Source organism: Homo sapiens, chromosome 9, assembly GCF_000001405.40.
Source record: "Homo sapiens chromosome 9, GRCh38.p14 Primary Assembly".
NCBI classification, from domain to species: Eukaryota; Metazoa; Chordata; class Mammalia; order Primates; family Hominidae; genus Homo; species Homo sapiens.
Genome location: NC_000009.12, coordinates 28,911,974 through 28,932,246, shown reverse-complemented (window position 1 = coordinate 28,932,246; position 20,273 = coordinate 28,911,974). Strand labels below are relative to the sequence as shown.

Here is a 20,273-nt window from a genome sequence, read left to right as displayed (position 1 = left end):
ATGTTCCCAAATATATCTGGAATGTGATGCAGTCTTGCTTCATGAAAATTAGTCATATTGCCAAGATCCCCCCCGGCCCCCGCCACTGCCTTTCATTTTATTTTATTTTATCTTATTTTATTTTATTTTATTTTATTTTTTTGTCAGAGTCTTGCTCTGTCACCCAGGCTGGAGTGCAATGGCGCAATCTTGACTCACTGCAACCTTCGCCTCCCGGTTCAGGCGATTTTTCTGCCTCAGCCTCCCTAGCTGCTGGGACTACAGGTGCGTGCCACCACACCAGGCTAATTTTTGTATTTTTAGTAGAGATGGGGTTTCAGCATATTGGCCAGGCTGATCTCGAACTCCTGACCTCATGACCCACCCGCCTCAGCCTCCCAAAGTGCTGGGATTACAGGCATGAGCCACCGCACCCAGCCCCGCCACTGCCTTTTGAAGCAACTGTTTTATTTTATATTTGCCTCATTTGTAAGTGATGCCTCAACATAAATACATTTTGCATTTGAAGTCATTGAAAACTACTATATTTGCTAAACAGTTATATTCCAATCCTATGTTTCCTCAACCTAAGCTCTTAGAGTCAAAAAGTTGTAAAGCAATTTTATACTGTACGATGCCTCTATGAAAAGAGATTTTTCTTTACTTTACCACATGAAATATGTGGTAATTGACAAAACATGTTGTAGTTAAGGACAAATGTGGAAAGTACAGCCCCAGATTATAGCAATACACCTTTATTAGAAAGAAGTCAGGCTATCTGATCTCTTCCTGCAATGCAAAACTGTCTGAAGGCATTGAGTAACTCAGTACCAGAGAAAATGGATTGTACCTGCCCAGATGGAGGCAGAAATGCTCATGGTGGTGTTGTAAAACAAGCTCCTAAGCAGCAAAGAGACACTGAGCTGTCTGTAGGGAAGTGAAAAAGAACTGCAAATTAAGCATGCCATGGTTATTCACTCTTTTATATTAGTGTCTCCAACTCCGATAAATGCTGTTTAGGGTTTTCACGTACTCAAAACTGTCATTTAATCTGAAATGATGTTGTTACATATTTGAGAGTCATTTTGAAAACTTACTGAAAAGGATCTGACATCATACCATGGAGTATATGGCTAGGGACATTGTGGCAGTTTATTTGCCACGGCAAGTTTAATCTAAATCAGCAAATATCTAATTTCTCATGAAAAGTGAAATTCCAGGAGGTTTTTTCCTCCACAGTGTTATTAAATAATCTGAGTTCTGCCAGAAGAAGGAATGGCTCATGTGGAAAATATTTAATTGCCTGCATTCATATGACAGGAGTGTTCTGAATTTAAATAACATATAATGAAAAGCAGTAGAGTAATATTGCCAAGAAATACCTTCTCACAGGTGATTGACTAATCCCTAGAGGATTCTGTGTGCCGTACATTAGCCTGGTAAAAGGGAACTGGGCTAATGGTCAGTCTTAAATCCGGACTGTGAAGCCTAATCCTGAATTTGCCATTGGTTGACCACAGAAATTTAAATTCCTCCCTCCATTTTAATTTTCTCTCCCTTCCTCCTTGTATCCTTCCCTTCTTCCCTATCTCGATAATTTCTAAAGAATCTACTATGTAATAGCATCATGTTAGATACTGAGATACAAAGATAAAAGATACTTCTGCCTTGAAAGGAGCTTAGGGGAAGAACTGGTCGGGTCAAATCATATAATTCAGGTCCCTTGAAGTTCTGATATCCAATCCTTTGCTCCTGTTTAAATTCTTATCACATAGTCAATGTCATTTTTTGATTGCTTGGAAATAATGAATCTTAAATGCGAGGTCATAGCTGGCTTGCAAGAGTCATTAATATATTCAATAAATATTTTGAGCCCTATGGGATGCCAAGCATTTTGCTAGAAGAAACATTATAAGAAACAGGTACCATGTGAAATGGGAGCACAGAGGAGGACCACACAGTCTTCTCTTAGGAATTCAAGCCAGGGTTTCAAGAGAGTGGAGGTCTAAGCCAAACCCTGAAGGATAAGAAAGAGTGTGGCAGGCAGAGGAAGCAGTACCCCTTGTGCATGAGAAGTACCCCTTGTGCACTCAAGGCAAAGAACAGTGTGTGCTTACAGGAATGCAAATTGTGTTTGTGGAATTGCCAGTCACTAGGCATCCCTGAAGAACAAAGTGTGAAAAGGGGTAGAGCAGGGATAGATGACCTCGAAGTTGATGCAAAGAAGTGATGAATGGCCATTCAAAGGATTTGGGGCTTTATCCTGAGGACACTGGAGCAGGTCTGGCATGATCAGATTTGAATTTAGAATAACAAATTAAAAACAAACAATCTTCTCAGAAAGGTGTTAAGGAAATGAGGTGAAGATCAGACATCTATCCATTAATTTTTTCCAAGCAAGATGACTTTCTGTTTTAGGTATGAATCTTAGTCTCAATCTCAGGGGTGTTAAAATTTGTTCTTTATAGTTTATTTAATTTGTATTTTGTATTTATATTTCCACAAGCTATAAAAATATTAACGTAGACCATTGGCGCAGTTTGCACTCTCACTCAGCTTTGCAGTGTTGTGACATAATACTTAGGATTTATGTGTGCCATGATGTCATGGGGGAAAGAAATGTGGAAAGTTGTCCATGCCGATATTGAAAGATTTATGGTTTCCTTTGTATAGCTCCTCAGGATCAGTAATAAAACTTACAGACTGGGACTATTTGCTGAGGCCCTCCAGATATGTCCAGGCCTCAGTTCCTTGTCCATTTTCTGGGTAACTGTCATTTCCTGAGAACTCTAGCTGCCTTCTCTGAGGATATGGAACCCTCCTCCCAACCCTCTCTCCTCAGCCCAGTTGAAACTTCAGCCTGAGGCTAACATTTTATTCCTTATTGTTTCTTCCAGTGTGCTTTTTCTAATACTCTTTTATCCCTCCTATGCATTAGCAAACACTTTTAATTATCCTAAGCATTTAAGCTTTTGAACAACAAAAGCCAAAAAGAACTGAACTCTGCTTGGGCTGAGTCTCTAAGTAAACTCACTCTCTACTGTGTCATGTATCTCCCCTTAGGGAATAAGGTGTGGAGCAGGCAACCCACGTGAAGTGGGCTAAAAGTCATGTGAGAGAGAAACAGAGGTAGAAAAACGCAAACTAAAACAAGTAAATATCTCAAAATATCATCTAGCTTCACCTGCTTTGTATGCTATTTCCCCTCTGCTTTTGTTGAATTTGAAATTGCTTTTGTTGAATTCCCTAGTTTACAGTCTCCACTCTCAGTTATTTCATGAACATTTTCTTTTGTGCAGCCCACTGCACTGACCTATTCACATGCTGTTTCCGTTTTGCAGTCTTCTCTTGGTACCACCACAAGCTGCCTCCTGAAACCCCTGGGCAGGAGTGCAGAAGCTCACTTGAGCTCACATACGGGGCCGATTGCGCTGCCTAGAACTCACTACCCTGAAAGGCTATTCTTAGATTCCTCATCTAGTGAGGGAATTGCACTATTTCATGTCAGAAGTGTACCAGTTAAAAACAAACAAACAAAAAAAAGAATTAGGAATCTAGGACCCTTTTAAATTATTCTCCTGCTACCATTAGAAATCCTTTTATCCTATCCACTGTGTTTTTCATGTCCTGGCCAAAGCAAAACTATAGAGAATGAAAATCTCCACTTTTACAGTTTCATTTAGCAGGGAAATGTTCTCAGTGCCTGAGTGGAACCTCAGTGCCTGTGTGGGAACCTCTAAAACTGTGTAGCTAATTTCCAAAAAATTTCCAATATATTTATTTAAAAAAAAACACATATAAGTGGACCTACACAGTTCAAACTCATGTTGTTCAAGGGTCAACTATCGTAACGACTGAGTAAGAGTTAGGATAGGTATATCCTTCTTTTAGACCAAAAATGAAATAATATTGATACTAATTTAAAGTTCACATACTTAGATAGCTATAAAAGAATTTATTCCATGAGAATATTACCTTTGCATGTGTATATAAAAGTCTCTGTAGCTATGTGCAAACTTGGAAACATAATAATTAGTTATATAAAAGGGTTTTGATATAAAAAGGCTTCAGTAAAGTTTTCTAAGGCAACAGAATACTTTTTTAAGTTTAACAGAAATTAATTCAAATACTAATTCTGTGGCTTGTGAAACAAGAAATCTTGGATAAATGACTAAATCTTTGTGAATGTCAACTTATTCAAAAATAGAGAATACCTACTCTGTTTTGCAAAGACTAAATAAGACAATGACTACTTTCTGGCACATTGTAGTGTTTAACAAACAGTTGTTAATTTATTTATTGAAATGACCGCAGGGCATGTTGGTTAAGAGCACAGACAATTTACCTGGGCTGCTTGTCTCTGAATCACAACTCTGTCACTTATGAGCTATGTGGCCTTAGGCAGATGACTTAACTTCAATGAATGTCAGTTTCTTCATCTGTAAAATGTGGATGATAAAGAGCACTGGCCTCATAGAGTTGTGAAAAAGAAATGAATTAACATATATAAATGCCTACAGCAGTTTTTAGCACTAAGCAAGCATTAAGCAGGTGTTAGCTCTTATTAATATTCAATAGATGAGATAAGGGTAAAAGGAAGTAATATTTATCCAGTGTATTACACACAAACTATTGTCTTCAACTTATTTACATTATCTCATATAATCCTTACAGCAGTCCTGAGGGGTAAGAATTTATTTCCCTATTTTTCAGTTCAGGAAATAGATTTAGAGAACCAAAATCTCTCCAGTATACTAAATCATCCATCTCAATTATTTAAATCCTTCTCTTTTCCCTTTTCTCTTGTTAGATTAGCTCTTCATCTAAGGAGTAGATATTACATGGGTTTATTGGTTTACCTTACCCTGTTTTCTCAGTCTGTTCCATGTAAAGTTCTAGAGCTCATTGGGAGAGTCTTTGGTCTGATGCTCTTGTCTAATCTGTATTCACAATGCCCCTAACACTTAAAAGTCTATAGAGAAAGCATAGAATGAAAGGGTAATTCATCAATGGTAATTCAGATCTATCTTAAGTGCCCCCACCTGCTCATAGTGCTACATTCAATCATTTTTCAAATGTGTCCCTTTATGGTTTGGGGCACTATTTACCAGGCACAGTACTTTTTATACCTGATGATATAAGCCAAAAAGATATGTTCTCTTTTTCAGGAGATGTACAATCCAGTTTGAAAGACAAATGCAAAAGAAACTAAACAACAATAAAATATAAATCAATAATTTGGGATATATGCTGTAAGAAGAAAAAACAGCAGGTGCTAGAGAAAGAATATCTATGTGGACAGAGGACAGAATAATTTTGACAGACAGTAAGTAAAGAGTTCTCAGTGGAGGTGACATTTCAGTGGAAGCCTGAGGGATGAGGAGAAGACAGCCATGAAAAGGTGGGCAGGGAGTGTAAGTGAAAAAGTGTATCTGAGTTGCCTAGACAATTAGAATAACTGAGAATACAGTTCACTTCCATTCTACTTCAACTGAATTTAAAGCAGGTGAACTAAATTACTCTTAGAAGTTTGTTAAATAGAGCATGAAGTAGAACACCACATATATAGTTAAGCACAGTAACTTACGTACACATTAAAAATAGACGTTAACCATATTAAAAAAAGCAAGCCCATATCCAGGTGTCCCAGCATTCAAACCAGCATGCCTTTTAGACAAATGACAAATCTGTATATCCTTGTGGCAGGGGTGAGGAATTCTAAACCTTTCTGTTTTGCAAACCAGGCTTCCTCATTTCTGCTTTTAGATTATATCTTTGTCATGTCAGCATATGTAGGGGTTAATTGAGGTGATGGAGTAGCCTCTTAATGTAGGCATTGTTCTAAAGCCCATATTTAAGGCAATGGCTGTTAAAAAGCAATGTGATAAAACTTCACTGTAGTTATTCTGATCTATGAAGCGAATGGTTTCTTTTTTCTTTTCTTTTCTTTTTTTGAGACAGAGTCTTGCTCTATCCCCCAGGCTGGAGTGCAGTGGCACGATCTCGGCTCACTGCAACCTCTGCCTCTCAGGTTCAAGCAATTCTCTTGCCTCAGCCTCCCAAGTAGCTGGGACTACAGGCATGCGCCACTGTCCCCGGCTAATTTTTGTATTTTTTAGTAGAGATGGGGTTTCACCATGTTGGCCAGGCTGGTCTCAAACTCCTGACCTCATGATCCGCCAACCTCGACCTCCCAAAGTGCTAGGATTATAGGTGTGAGCCACCACACCTGGCTTAACCAAATGGTTTCTTTAGAGAATACCCAGATCAAAGGTTGGACACTGCAGAGAATTTCCTCATTTCACTGCCTTTTTAGGGTCCCCATTCCCACTCAGGGGTGAGACTACTTCAAACAGCCATTAGCTCTGGACCCAAGGTCTCTATGTGGCATAAACTCACTGCTTGTAAGTGAAAGAGTTTTGTGTTTTCAGTTATCCTTAAAGAGATAAGTCACAAGAGCTTCTGTGAATGAAAGCAATTTATTTGTCTTCTATAGCTGACTTGAGAACAGCTGTCCTTACAAAGTTCAAAAGTTACCAAAACCACCATCAGTTTTGATAATTCACTAGAAGAACCCACAAAAATCATGGAAAGCTGTAATACAGTATATAGTTAATAGTTTATCACAGCAAAAAGATACAGATTAAAATTATCCAAGGGAAGAGATACAAAGAGAGCAGAGTCCAGGAGAGTTCCAAATGCAAAGCTTCCAGTTATCCTTCCCCAGGGAAGTCATGAAGAATGCTTGTTTTTCTGCAATGATGTATCACAGTTTGCATGGGGTATTACCCACCAAGGAAACCACCACGCCCCAGTGTTGAGTTTTTACTGGCACTTGGTCACATAGACATATTAGACTGACTGTGTGGCTGACCTTTAGTCTCTAGACCCTCTGGGCAGGGAGCTGATACCTGGCCCAAAACTCCTATCGTTAGTCATGTAGTTACATCACTGGCTCTGGTTCAAGATCCCCAGGTAAACAAAGATATTCTTAGCAGAAAGGACATTCCAAAGACTTAGAGATCACCTCTCAGGAGCCAAGAACAAAGGCAAGACTTTTCTCTGGGGAAGGGTTATTCTATTTTAAAAAGCGTTTAAATTTTATTTTTTAACCAATAACAATTGTATATACTTATGGGGTACAATGTGATGTTTGGATATATGTTTACAATGTGGGATGATAAAATCAGGCTAATTAACAAATTCATTGATTCACATGCTTACCTTTTTTGTGGCAAAAATATTTAAAGTCTACTCTTAGAAATGTTGAAATATACAAGCCAAACATAGACTGAAAGTGAAGGGAGGAAGAAAGACATACCAGGCAAATGGAAACCAAAGGAGAGAAGGGGTGGCTATCTTTATATCAGACAAAATAGGCTTTCAGTCAAGAACTATAAAAAGAGACAAGGTCATTATGTAATGATAAAGAGGTCACTTCATCAAGAGGATATAACAGTTTTAAATATATAGGCACCTGACATCGGACACATAAATGATTAATTATTACACAGTGTTGCTCTAATAGAAAACATTTATGTACAGCAAAGCTATAAAAAAGCTTTTTAAATATAAGCTTGATCAAAGGAAGAGTAGTATAACATGTGTTGATTGTCATTTCCCTTCCAAACATCTATAGTTGGGACAACTGTATGGAACTGATGTTATTACCTGCTGGACTGCACTATAAACCAGGTTTTGTTTGTTTGTTTGTCTGTTTATTTGATTTTTCTGATAGGAAGAATAAGGCCAGGCATGGTGGCTCATGCTTGTAATCCCAGCAATTTGGGAGACTGAGGCTGGCGGATTGCCTGAGTCCAGGAGTTTGAGACCAGCCTGGGCAACATGACGAAATCCTGTCTCTACAAAAAATACAAAAATTAGCTGGGCATGGTGGTGCGGGTCTGTGGTCCCAGCTATTTGTGGGGCTGAGGTGGGAGAGTCACTTGAACCTGGGAGTGAGATTGAACAGTGAGCTGAGATTGCACCACTGTTCTCCAGCCTGGGTGACAGAGTGAGACTCTGTCTCAAAGAAAAGAAAAAGAAAGAATACTTACCCAGAGCAAATCACTTGCGCAAAGGCTGGAGGCAAAAAAAAAGTTTGGGAAACTGAAAGAAACCAGGGGAGTTAAAGTATAGTACACAGGGCACGTGCCAAGATGCTTAGATTGTATTCAAAGTGCAATTCCACTTCTTTGTAGAGGCTTGAGTAGTGACATGGTCTTATCTACATTTGAAAATAATAAATCTAGCTGTTATGTGCTTCTTAAAAAGCAAAGTTTTCTAGACCGAGCATGATCATGTGAGTCTGTGACAGTGCCTACCTCTTTTCCCCCAAATCAGATCCCTTTTTATTTCCTGTACAGAGCTGGCTCGTTGGATATTGCCAAGTGTAACAGTTATTTACCCCCTCTTTACTTGCAAATATTATTTGGTCACTCACTAGTTAATAATTGGCCTATTTTATAGAGTAGCTCTGAGGGCATCTTTGGTTCCACCCAGAAGTTCTCTGGTTGCTTTTATGACTAGACCAGGTTTTTCCCTCTGGTGCCTCCTTCATTAGTAATTGTTAGTTGATAGTTCCTAAGTGGAACGCTTCTTTCTTATGTCGTCTACATTCAATTATCCCGAGTGGCCTATTCCCATCCTGTTGTATGCCAAGTAATTCATTTCTTTTTTCCTTCCAGGATTCACTCTTGGAACATGCCAAACCAAGTCCCAAACAGATGTCTCTTTTTCAGATACTTGGCAAAAGATTTTTGGTGGATCAGTTTTTAGTGGTCCACAGGGGCTAAAAGATTTTTTCCTCTTATTTATTCTAAAAGCTTCTAAACAGAAATTTGTTCTGTAAGAGAATCCACATTACTAAACAAGACACAAATACTGCTCCAAAAACAAAGCAACCATCAATAACTTGGATTTAAAAGCCACTCGTGAGATTCTGAAAATTCAGTCTTTCTGTGAAAGAGCTGACTTGAGTACTCATTAAGAGCCAATGTCTCTGGGGAGCTCTGCTATAACTTTGCAGAATTAGTTAGGGAAATGTAGTCACCATCATCTAACCATCTATAAGATAAAGAATAGTTTTCCTGGGCTGAAAATCAGTTTTCCCGGGCTGAAAGCAGGGTGCCAGCAGGGCTGAGATCCCACAAAATACTTTGGGAGAAAATCCATTTCCTTTCATTTCTCAGTTTCTAGTGCCGCATTTCTTTCATTCCTTGGCTGCTGACTCTCTCGCTTTTCAAAGCCAGCCAAGTAGCTTAACCTTGTACTTCAATCCTTGCGTTGTATTCATCTTTAATGGTTAAATCTCCTTCCACCTCCCTTTTATAAAGACATTTATATTACATTTAGGGTCCACCTGCATAGTCCAAAATAATCTCTCCATCTCAAGATTCTCAATAACATTTGCAAAATACTTTTTGACATATAACATTCGCAGCTTCTGGTTATTAAGACGGGCATATGTTTGAAAATCATTATTCAGCCTACCATAAGCTATGCACAGCTCAAGATCCTTTTCTAACCCGTGTCGCAAAGTAGTGACACTTAATTAACAAAAAGTGTTTAAAGGGTTTTATAGGCTTTAAATACTTAATATCAATAAATGCTTGTTTGTTCATTCATTCACTTATTTATTCATTCTTGATCCCATTTACTGTTTTAACCCCAGGAGTTACTGTGAAAATAAATAACTGAGATATGATTTTAATTTAGCCATGATTTACAATAAGGTTATTACGCAGTTTAATTATTTCCTGTGGTTAACTGCTCCTTTTACTTACAGTGGATATCCATTGAGCAAGAACATATTTTTGCTTCCTTAAATAACTCATTGAAACTTATCATCTAAAAGTTTGAATGTCCCCTTGTTTTATTTAAAAAAAAAAATCTGACTCTTTGCAGAGTAACTGTACCCTTCCGAATTTATCAATGCATGCGGAGACAATGGTGCTTTCATCTATTAGAATTCTTTCTGTCACAAGTGATACAAAACACAACATGCACTAGTTTGAACACGACAAAATAGTGTGTTACCTACTCAGATAATTGCAATGTTCATTGTGGGACTGGTTTATTGGTGAAAGTCAAAGCTAGAAGCAGATGGAGTACTCACATTGGGTAACTTGAGAAATAGTAATGAAAGAGGATATGCAGAAATGTGGAGGAAGTGTATAGGGAAACCATAAGATACAGTGCAATAGTCTAATGCCTGTACACAAAGAGCTGTTACAAAGTCCAGGGCCTGGGGGAGGGCATGGGGCAGTGACAGGAACCTAGAGACTGATCTACATGGAGAAGACCACCTGCCAAGAGCTGAGATTTTAGCTAAGGTGTGCAGCAAACCTGATTCAACACCTCAGGGAAGAATCCAGGATAATAAAATAGTCTCACTTTATTTTCTTCCTTCTCTGCAATCTCCTGCCGATGTTTACAATTTGAAACTAACTTGAAGTCAGAGGTAAAGAAGCTCCTTGATACCATCCTTATAAATGCACTCTCCCAGTCCAGACACTGAACAAGATGGAATAACTGGTGAGTGGATGTGGAAGGATGAATGGAAGTTACTGACGTGCTGGTTTAAGACACAGATGATTTTAGGATCTGAGGGTTAGCTTATCTCTCTCTCTTCCTCCTTGCTCCGCTCTCTTAGCTGTGCTCCCTTCCCTGTTTTCTGCATAGTCTCAGATGGACTTTACTGCTCGAGCTACCAAGATAATTGCAGCAGGTCCCCACATCACAATTCTAAATGCTGAAAAAAGAATACCTTTTTCTAATCAAGTAGTTTTGGCAAAATCTGCAATAATTTTATCTGTGTGACGGGATGACCTACCTGTCTCAGTCGGTCATTGTGGTTAAGAGACTTCAAGACTCTGATTGGTCCTACGAAACTCATTATTGCCTCTGGGGTGGGGGTGGAATCAGGTATGTGGGACTATGTGATATGAGAGAAAAGGATGGAGGGATTCACAAATGAAGAGCCTACATTTACAGGTGAAATATGAATAGATTCTGGATAGTCAGTGCCTTATTATTTTTCCAGTGATTAGAAATGTTTGTCTCTGAAACTGCTTAATAAAAGATTAACATTTTCATTTTGTTTAACATCTTTTTTCTCACTATGTCCAATATAAGCCACCATTTTTAGAAATACGATAAAGCTGCCTCTCAATTTTTTTCCATTCCCGCATGTGTCATAAAGGTGATTTGGCTATCATATTGTAATTCCATTTTCTATCATTGCTTACATGTTTTTCAGTGAGTAGTTAATACTTCCTAAAAATGCATATATTTTTGTACAGTTTTATAATTTTCATAGTGTCCATTTGTAATCTTCATAACCATCTTATAATGTAGGTATTTTATCTCCACTTTGCAGATCTGGAAATGTTAGCTAAAAAGAGATTAAGTGACCTGCTAACAAATTTTAAGTGTGTGGCCAGGGGTTTAAACTAAGGCTTTTCTGATCCTAGACAAGTATGTGTATAGAAACAATTTAAGATTCGGTTATGTAGATTTGTGTGCGTGTGTGTGTGTGTGTATCTGGATATAACAAAGGCCACCGGCTCTGACATTTGTGATTTCACAAGGACTTACTACATTCTTTTTTGCAAAATATGCTCCTTCATGACCCATTACTACATAAGAAAATTCCAAAGCATTATTTAGTAGCAATTTCTTTGAGAATGTTTTGTAGATATGTACATTTGAGTAAAATAGAAAAGTATTAACTAGGAAAGGGTAATGATAGTTTCTAGCCACATTTGTATTAACCAATTTATAAGACTGATTATTTCCTAATAAAAATGAAATCCTGAGGGAATGTGACATAAGGCACAGACTTTTTGTGAACAAAGGATACAAGGAAAAGTGAGAACAGAGATATTTCCCTGTTCAAAAGAGGAAATCCAGTTATATTAATAGCAAAGCTGAGCTTCTGAACTTAAAAATTTTATTATATATATATATTATACTAGTCCTCTATAAAGATGCAACTGTATTATGAAATCAAATTATTTATTGGTACCAGACTTCATCAGGTGCATTAAGAAAAAATGTTCAAATCTTTAAGGAGACTTTTCTGTAACCACCTGTGTAGAGGTGACTTACAACGTCTATGCCTTTGAGTAATTTCACTTCTGAGAATCTATTTTAAAAGAATCATCTTAAATAGAGAAATATGTATATTTACAGGGTGATGATTAGCAGTAATTGATTTTATAATAGGAAATAAATGTTCAAAAGAGGACTGGTTAATAAACTACAGTGTAACAATTTGTGATGTCGTAGTATTTTTACTGATCTCATATAAAGTATAGAAATATTCACTCATTTAAATTAAATGAGGAAAGCATAATACAAATTACATTATAGCGTGATTATACCAATGTAAAATATGTGTTTAGCAGAAGTCTAAAAGGATATAATGTTTAAAGTTAGCAGTGGTTGTGTGGGCCTGCCATAGCTATGGATTTTTTCCCTTTTTGTTTTCATTTTTAGAAATGTCTATAATGTTTATACCAGTTTTATAAAGAAAATATATCACTGTAATACACTGGTAAAAGTAACCTTCTTTGTCCTTGTATGCTCATATAATCTTTTGCAGTGTACTACTGAATAAAAGAATGTCCATGCCTGCACCCCTAGCTTTGAGTCCATTGCCTATGACACATACACCTGTGATTTCTGATTGTGGTCATTTTGCACAAAAGATACATGAGTCTGGCTGTTTTAAGATTGACTACTGGTCCTTGTGTGCTGCTGAACCAGGACATAACATCAAGTGATGTTACTTATTCATAATAATTCATAGCAGATTTCATGCTATGTTATACATGGCACTTTTTGGGAAAAGGAATCAGTAGGAAGAGATTGTATAATGAAGTTCCCTGGGACTGGCATGTAGGTTTGCCAACTACTGAGGCAGAAAATGTAGTAAATGATAAGAAATGTGTCCCCAGTTGTCATCATCATCATCATACGGATTCATGGCTGAACCTTCAAGCATGACTGCATGATAGGTTAAATGGAAGTAAACTCATTAGACGTGTCAGCTTCACTTCATTAATAATGAGAAGTAGTTCAGCCAGTGCACTTGTACATCTGGCGATGCTCTGTGGCTCATATATTTTGAGTTGTAGGAAGACAAATATCTCCCAGACACCTGAGGGGAATGTAAGGTAAGCAACAAAGGAATGTCTGCATTGAAGTATTAGTTAAGTAATTTTTACCTATTTTCACGGATTGAAGCTGAAGCCTCTATAATTGAACATACTGGATACAGTGCACCCATCCTGTTACTTTAAATAGATGTTTGGGGCATATTTTCTCCTTAGCTTAGTCTCTTTGTTGATTCCCTTGAATCCATACAATGAGCTAATAGGGTTTTTGCTAATATGATTGTTTTTAAATTTTGATTTTGTTGTTTTAGTTTTGTTGTTATTGCAGTTTATGTCCTAGTTTGTTGTTTTGTTTCATGTTTTTCTAATTGATAGCAAGATAAACATGAAGCTGTGGGAATGAAAAAAAGGTACAGGGGCAAAAAGACATTTGGAACGTTATTCCGCATACGTTGAAATATATGTTTTCAAGTGTATTGACACTGATGTTTCCATTTTAATACATTTTAATCTAAAATTAAATAATCCTGTGTCATTAGAGACGTAGGCTCCTTCTAGCTTTGTGTTCTACAATCCCTAAGTCAGATGTTCCATTGATGGGTCACAAATGGCTATTTGACTCCAAGAATGGAATTTTATGCAAGGGAGAAAGGAGGAGGAATGGGAGGGATTAAAAGGACTTTCCTGGAAGTTTTGTCCAAATGATTTCAATTTATTTTTCATTGATCTGTGTGATATGGTTTGGCTCTGTGTCCCCACCCAAGTCTCATCTTGAATTGTACTCCCATAATTCCCATGTGTTGTGGAAGGGACCCAATGGGAGATAATTTGAACCCTGGGGGGGTGGTTTTCCCCATACACTTCTCATTGCAGGGTATAAGTCACACAAGATCTGATGCAGGGGTTTCCGCTTTTGCATCTTCCTCATTTTCTCTTGCCGCCACCATGTAAGAAGTGCCCTTCACCTCCTGCCATGATTCTGTGGCCTCCCCAGGCTTGTGGAACTGTAAGTCCGATTAAGCCTTTTTTCTTCCCAGTCTCGGATATGTCTTTATCAGCAGCATGAAAATGGACTAATACACAGTGTATCTGTAAGGGATGACTGGAAAACTGTTTTCTAGCTGAATATACCTTAGGGATCTGTTAGTGAGATAAAAATTCAAAATGGATATTGTGTAGGCCGCTAGCACTGTTTGTCACAGCAGATATGCCTAACTTCTACTTGACTTTTCATTTACTATAAATGCTGGACTTCGTATTAATGACTATTCAATTTTCTTTCATAATTTCAACCTAGAAGAATACATTTGCACCTTGATTCAATCATCTTTTATATGAGCTGAACTTCCCAACTTTCTGTCATTTGAAAATTTAATGAGCAAGCTTTCTCTTGCTTTACTCAACTCTATGACCTAATGTAAAGGAAAAACTATCATGAAAACAAAAATAAGAAGAAAATGTAAATCACTGCTTCTTTCTATATCCAGGACACTGAAAAGGATTTACATGACTTTTTATGAGACTTTTAAAACTTATTCTGGTGGTGGGTGCCTGTAATCCCAGCTACTCAGGAGGCTGAGACAGGAGAATTGCTTGAATCCAGGAGGTGGAGGTTGCAGTGAGCCGAGATCCCACAACTGCACTCCAGCCTGGGCAGCAAGAGCAAAACTCCTTCTCACCAAAAAGAAAAAAAAACCCAAAAAAACCTATTCTAATGACAATTTTTTTTTTTTGAGTTTTGTTTCTGAATGGATGGGTGGAAAATGGAGAAACCTAGAACTGGGAGAAAGACAATAAATGTGAGAAGCAATAAAACAGAGGAAAGCAGGCCTCTTAACATGTTGGAAGGCTGAGGTAGATATAAATTGTGAAATTCTCCATAGTTGGATATCTTAGGGTGTTTTATAATAATAATGTTTACTACTTAATTTTTAGTTATTATTTTATTTCGGTGATATAGTTTCCCACTTCTCACTCATTAACTTCCAATTTTCAGGGTCTGATACACACAGCAGCTTTCTGTTTTAGACAACATTTTCCACAGGGCTGAGATTCAAAGATAATTCATGACAACCACAAAAGGTAGAAAGGGAAGTAAGACATGGAGATTAATGCAGCAACGGATGTGGGAATTATTAGTTGAACATTAGTGTTTACTCCCACCTTATCTTCCAAAATCCTTACATATATTGAGAAGAGCACTTTCCCCAGTATTGGTGGATGTGTTCTTGAATCATTTCCTTTAGACATTGAGGAAAATATGACCACAGAAAGGTGGAAGACAAGGGCTATTCACAGTGTAGAATATACACCTATTTAAAATGGAACCTGTAAACCAAAAAGTATAAAACAAGTCTCAATTAATTTAGAAGTTTATTTTGCCAAAGCTAAGGGCATGTGCATAACACAGTCTCAGGAGATCCTGAGAACATGTTCCCAAGGTGGTTGGGCTACAGCTTGGTTTTATATGTTATAGAGAGACATAAACGTCAATCAATACATGGATGGTACATTGGCTCAGCCCTAAAAGGCAAGACAACTGGAAGCAATTGTGTAGGGATGGGGGTGTGGCTTCCAGGTGATTAAAAGATTTTCTAACTGGCAATTGGTTGAAAGAGTTTATCTAAAGACTAGAGTCAATAGAAGGAGGGAGTGTTTGGACTAAGATAAGAGGTTTTGGAGACCAAGGTTTTCATTCTGCAGGGGAAGCCTCCAGGTAGCCGGCTTCAGAGAGAATAGATTGTAAATGTTTCTTATCAGACGTTAAAAGATGCCAGGCTCTTAGTTAATTCTCTCCTGGATCAGGAAAAAGACCTAGAAAGGAAGAGAATTCTCTACAGAATGTAGATTTTCCCCACAAAAGACAGCTTTACAGGGTCATTTCAAAATATGTCAAAGAAACAAATTCGGGGGTGAAATACTTTGATTTCTCTCGGGGCCTGCTGTCTGTCATGTCGGTATATTATTGTAACAAAGCGTCTGCTTTGTCAGTCTTAAGTTCTCTGTTTTAAATGTTAGTGCTGGTCAATCATGCCTGAATTCCAAAGAGAAGTGGGGTGTAAGGAAGGCATGTCTGACCACCCATTTGCACCATGGCCTGAACTGGTGTTTCAGATTGACTTTGGAAAGCCCTTGGCCAAGAGGAGGGTCCATTTGGTTGGCTGGGAAGGCTTAGAACTTTATTTTTAGTTTACAGAGCCAAGCCAGAAATTCGCGACCGTTTATCAGAGATTTTACAGGATATCTTGAGACATTAGCAGAAACTTGAAGATTTTATCAGTTATGTATTAATGTGATTACCATGCTTATACTTCTTTATTCTGTCTCCTCTGCTAGATTCTAAACTCTCAGGACAGGGATAATACATATCTTATTTATCTTGGTAAATCTGGTCTCTAGTATACCTTAGGCCTTCAGTTAGAATTTATTTAGTGAACATTTGAACTATGTGATTCACTGATAAAGTATCTCCTAAGTGACCAGCATTCTTCATGTACCCTTACAGTAAGAATTACATTTACCCACATATTTACTTTTAATACACAAGTCTATTTCAATACTATTGAAGTAATCTTTAAGTTAAGTGAGGCCCAACAGAAAGTACTTGAAAACACACATATGTAAATATGGTGATACTGAGGGCTTTTAAGTCACTAAGTTAATGATTCTCAAGGTGTGGTCACTGGTCCAGCAGCTTCCTTATCTCCTTAGAATATGTTACTAAGGTAGATTCTCAAGCCACACCCCAGACCTATGATTCAGAAACTCTGCAGTGACCCAGTAATCTGTGTTTTAACAAGCCCTGCAGGTGTTTCAAATGAACAATCAAATTTGAGAACCCGTGCCTTTCTTGAAGAAGTGACTGTGAACAGATGATTTCATAATAGAAGACAGAAAAAATAAACTTGATTAATGCTTGCTAAGCATTGGGTACTTTTCCTGAGCTTTCTGTGTCCTCAAAGTTTGTGACTAACTTTATTTTCATTTTTATTTATTTATTTTTTGTTTGTTTGTTTGAGACAGAGTCTCGCTCTGTCGCCAGCCTGGAGTGCAATGGCATGATCTCGGCTTACTGCAACCTCCGCCTCCCGGGTTCAAGCAATTCTCCTGCCTCAGCCTCCCAAGTAGCTGGGACTACAGGCGTGTGCCACCATGCCCAGCTAATTTTTGTATTTTTAGTAGAGATGAGGTTTCACCATGTTGGCCAGGATGGTCTCCCATCTCTTGACCTTGTGATCCGCCTGCCTCGGCCTCCCAAAGTGCTGGGATTACAGGCGTGAGCCACCGCACCCAGCGTTTGTGACTATCTTTAAAACATCCAGGACTGTTTGGGTTAGTGATTGTAAAGTTTGATCTGTACTTGTAACTGTATACAGCCATCCCTTGTCATACAGGAGGGATTGTTCCAGGACACTGGAAGATACCAAAATCTACTCATACTCAAGTCCTTCAGCAGACCCTGTCAAACCCAAATATATGAAAAATTGGCCCTCTGTATATGAGGTTTCACATCCTGCAAATATCAAATTTTCAATCTGTGTTTGGTTGAAAAAAAAATCCATGTATAAGTGAACCTGCACAGTTCAAACCCAATTAATTGTTCAAGGATCAGCTGTAGTTATGTTTGTCTCAAGCTAATATTGATCTGTAGATTTTCTTGGATGAGTTTTTTATTTTTGTTTTATTTGCATAAGAAAATGGTCTAAATATCCTAAAATTAAATGCTTCTTGATATAGGTTTGATAACTGCTTGATATTGATAGCTAACTCAGTTATAAATCCCACACATAAAGTCCATAACCTTACTTTAAATTCATAGTATATATAGCGTTTTGGCCAAAAGAAAGATACTTTTATCTGGTCTGTGCTGTCTAAAGTGTTTATTCTCCCTCCTTTTGGTTATATGTTTTATTTTATCCTGTACATTTATGCTATCTGTTTGTATACACAAATGTATTTAGATCATAAAAATCAGGTTTCAAGAATTACACACATTGTATTGTAGCTAATGGGTTTCTGCCCTTTTATGCATTCATGTTTTAATGAGTTATTTTCTTGTTGTATGCTTTATCACAGGAAAGTCTGTTTTCTCTTGGAAAGTGAGAGTGGCATAAATTGTGACTTCTAAATTTTTTCTATGAGAAAACATGGAAACAATGAAGCCGATATGTCAGTATTCAAAAGTACAATTAAATGATAGTGACTATCATGTATACGTACCATTTTAATTAAAAAATCATGTGCTCTCTGATACATTTGCTCTATTTTGCAGAATCTAAAATGAAATTGTACTCACTATAACGTATTACTTGGTCATGAAAACTTTCAATGCTGAGTCCAGGAACACTAAAGCAGGTAAATAGCAAAATTATGCACATCTTGTTTCTTAAGTAGTGAATATGTAATAAGCATTATAAAACAACAAGTATTATCAGATTATCACAAAAAAGGGAGACTTTAATTTTGGAGGAAATATGGGATGTAAGGACCTGACAAATCTACAACTATTTAGACTCATGTATGTATACCCAATATTCTTTCTCTATTTTGATTAAAGGTATTTTAAAGCGTTCTTTATACTATCTATACATTGGAGATTTTAAGTACACATTCACATTTTAAGGGTTTGAATCCTTGAACAAAGATGCCTATATAATATTGTATAACGTAAAGTATTATAAAATATGGTTGACATATCATGCAACAGTACTAATTTCATTGAGTATGATTTAAGGAGCATTAAGGTTAGTATTTCAATAAACCTACTGGAAACCTTGCTTTTGCCTTAGTTTCCCTTAAAAGACTAGCTAAACCATGATTTGCTAGAATATAAAATTCTATTTCACTGAACAGGCATTTATACAAATAGACATGTGGATAATAAAATCATTAATAATTACTACATCACATGTTATAATAATGGAATTATTATGATGATAACAGAGATTTTCATCCTGTTAGGAACATATGTTTGAGATTGTCTACCTCAAAATGAGGATTTTATTGAACAGATCATTTAGTTTGGAGTACCTGAAAGAAAAAGATAATTATTGTCTAGATCAGTTGAAACTGAGTGTAAACTGTACAGAGGAAATACCTCAAAATATAATGTTAATTAACTAACTTTCAACACCGCCACCATAAAGAATGTGGCTGGTTATTGTGCCAGAAGGAAATGAGAGATGTGAAAGATCTAGCACCAACAATTAAAAGTCACACACATAACTTCTGCACAACATTCACTAGATTCCACACAATCTCAAGAAGGCCAGGAGGTGATGTCATGAATCCAAAAGTCAGGAAGTAGGACATATCTTTTATGATTATCACAAAATAGTTGAGATGATTTGATTTAAAATATACTGCATGGTCTAAGCATGAAATATATTTAAGGAACACCTTATACAGGCTGTCGTTTTGTAGACTAGCCAAGACTGAGGTAATAAGGAGAAGCATCAGTGATTACTAATGAAGACACATGATGTCAATGAAGACTATATGTGAGGAGAAAATAAATAATGGTTAAAGCATGAGCCTTGAATAAAATTCCATAAGGGTTACTTGTCCAGTTAGTGGATGTAGATTTCCACTTTATCTGTTTCTCCTATGGGCAACTGTCACATATCTTCCAGGGTGAGCAGCAAACAATAATTTATTATTCTATAATGGCTGATTCTCCATAATAATACAGAAGAGTTGCCTGCCAGAGTATAAAAAAGAAGACAGAACAGCTTACCAGGCATGGAGAGAGAGAATATGTAAATGACTAGATGAGTGGAGGCAAGGTTATTTAGGCTGAAAAAAAAGGAACAAACCCAACAAAGGCAAAAAAGAAAAGTATGGGCAGCACAGGTTTTTCATAGAACTGACTGCTGCTTGACCACCAGTCATTTGACAAGTTAGTCTTTCACTGTCACTTCCAGGTTTTCATTTTTCACTTTATAGGCTTTTAGCTTTATTGATAAATTATTGCAATTATAACGATCTGGAGTTAAAAGAGCATACATGAAGTCATCTAATTTTATTTGTTGCTCAGGTTAGATTAAGCCATGTTGCCAGGCCGATGGCAGGTTGCCTTATTAGAGAGACTCTAGAAAAGGAATTCTAAATAATTTTTCTTCATATTGCAATGCATATTTAGCAAGTATATTCATACACATTTATTTAATATAT

At 37.2% G+C, this 20,273-nt stretch overlaps 1 protein-coding gene across 12 annotated transcripts in view, besides 1 other annotated feature; it reads left to right on the top strand.

Moving 5' to 3' along the window:
• The window catches only part of LINGO2 (leucine rich repeat and Ig domain containing 2), a 1,275,985-nt gene that overhangs the window by 281,355 nt on the left and 974,357 nt on the right, over positions 1 to 20,273 (top strand). The window contains exon 3 of one of the 12 annotated variants that reach the window (XM_047422812.1): positions 18,373 to 18,455. The exons of 10 other annotated variants lie outside the window; for them this stretch is intronic. The gene's annotated coding sequence lies outside the window, so the exon portion shown is untranslated. Of the gene's footprint in view, positions 1 to 432; positions 18,456 to 20,273 lie in introns of those variants that run through there. One more of the 12 variants, XM_047422816.1, reaches the window with a different exon arrangement.
• Positions 2,631 to 3,200: an enhancer, noted in NCBI's record as "NANOG hESC enhancer chr9:28929045-28929614 (GRCh37/hg19 assembly coordinates)". NCBI's record gives its function as "activates a minimal SCP1, AML or CMV promoter by ChIP-STARR-seq in naive H9 embryonic stem cells {active_cell/tissue: H9 hESC(naive)}" and the evidence as "EXISTENCE:reporter gene assay evidence [ECO:0000049][PMID:30033119]".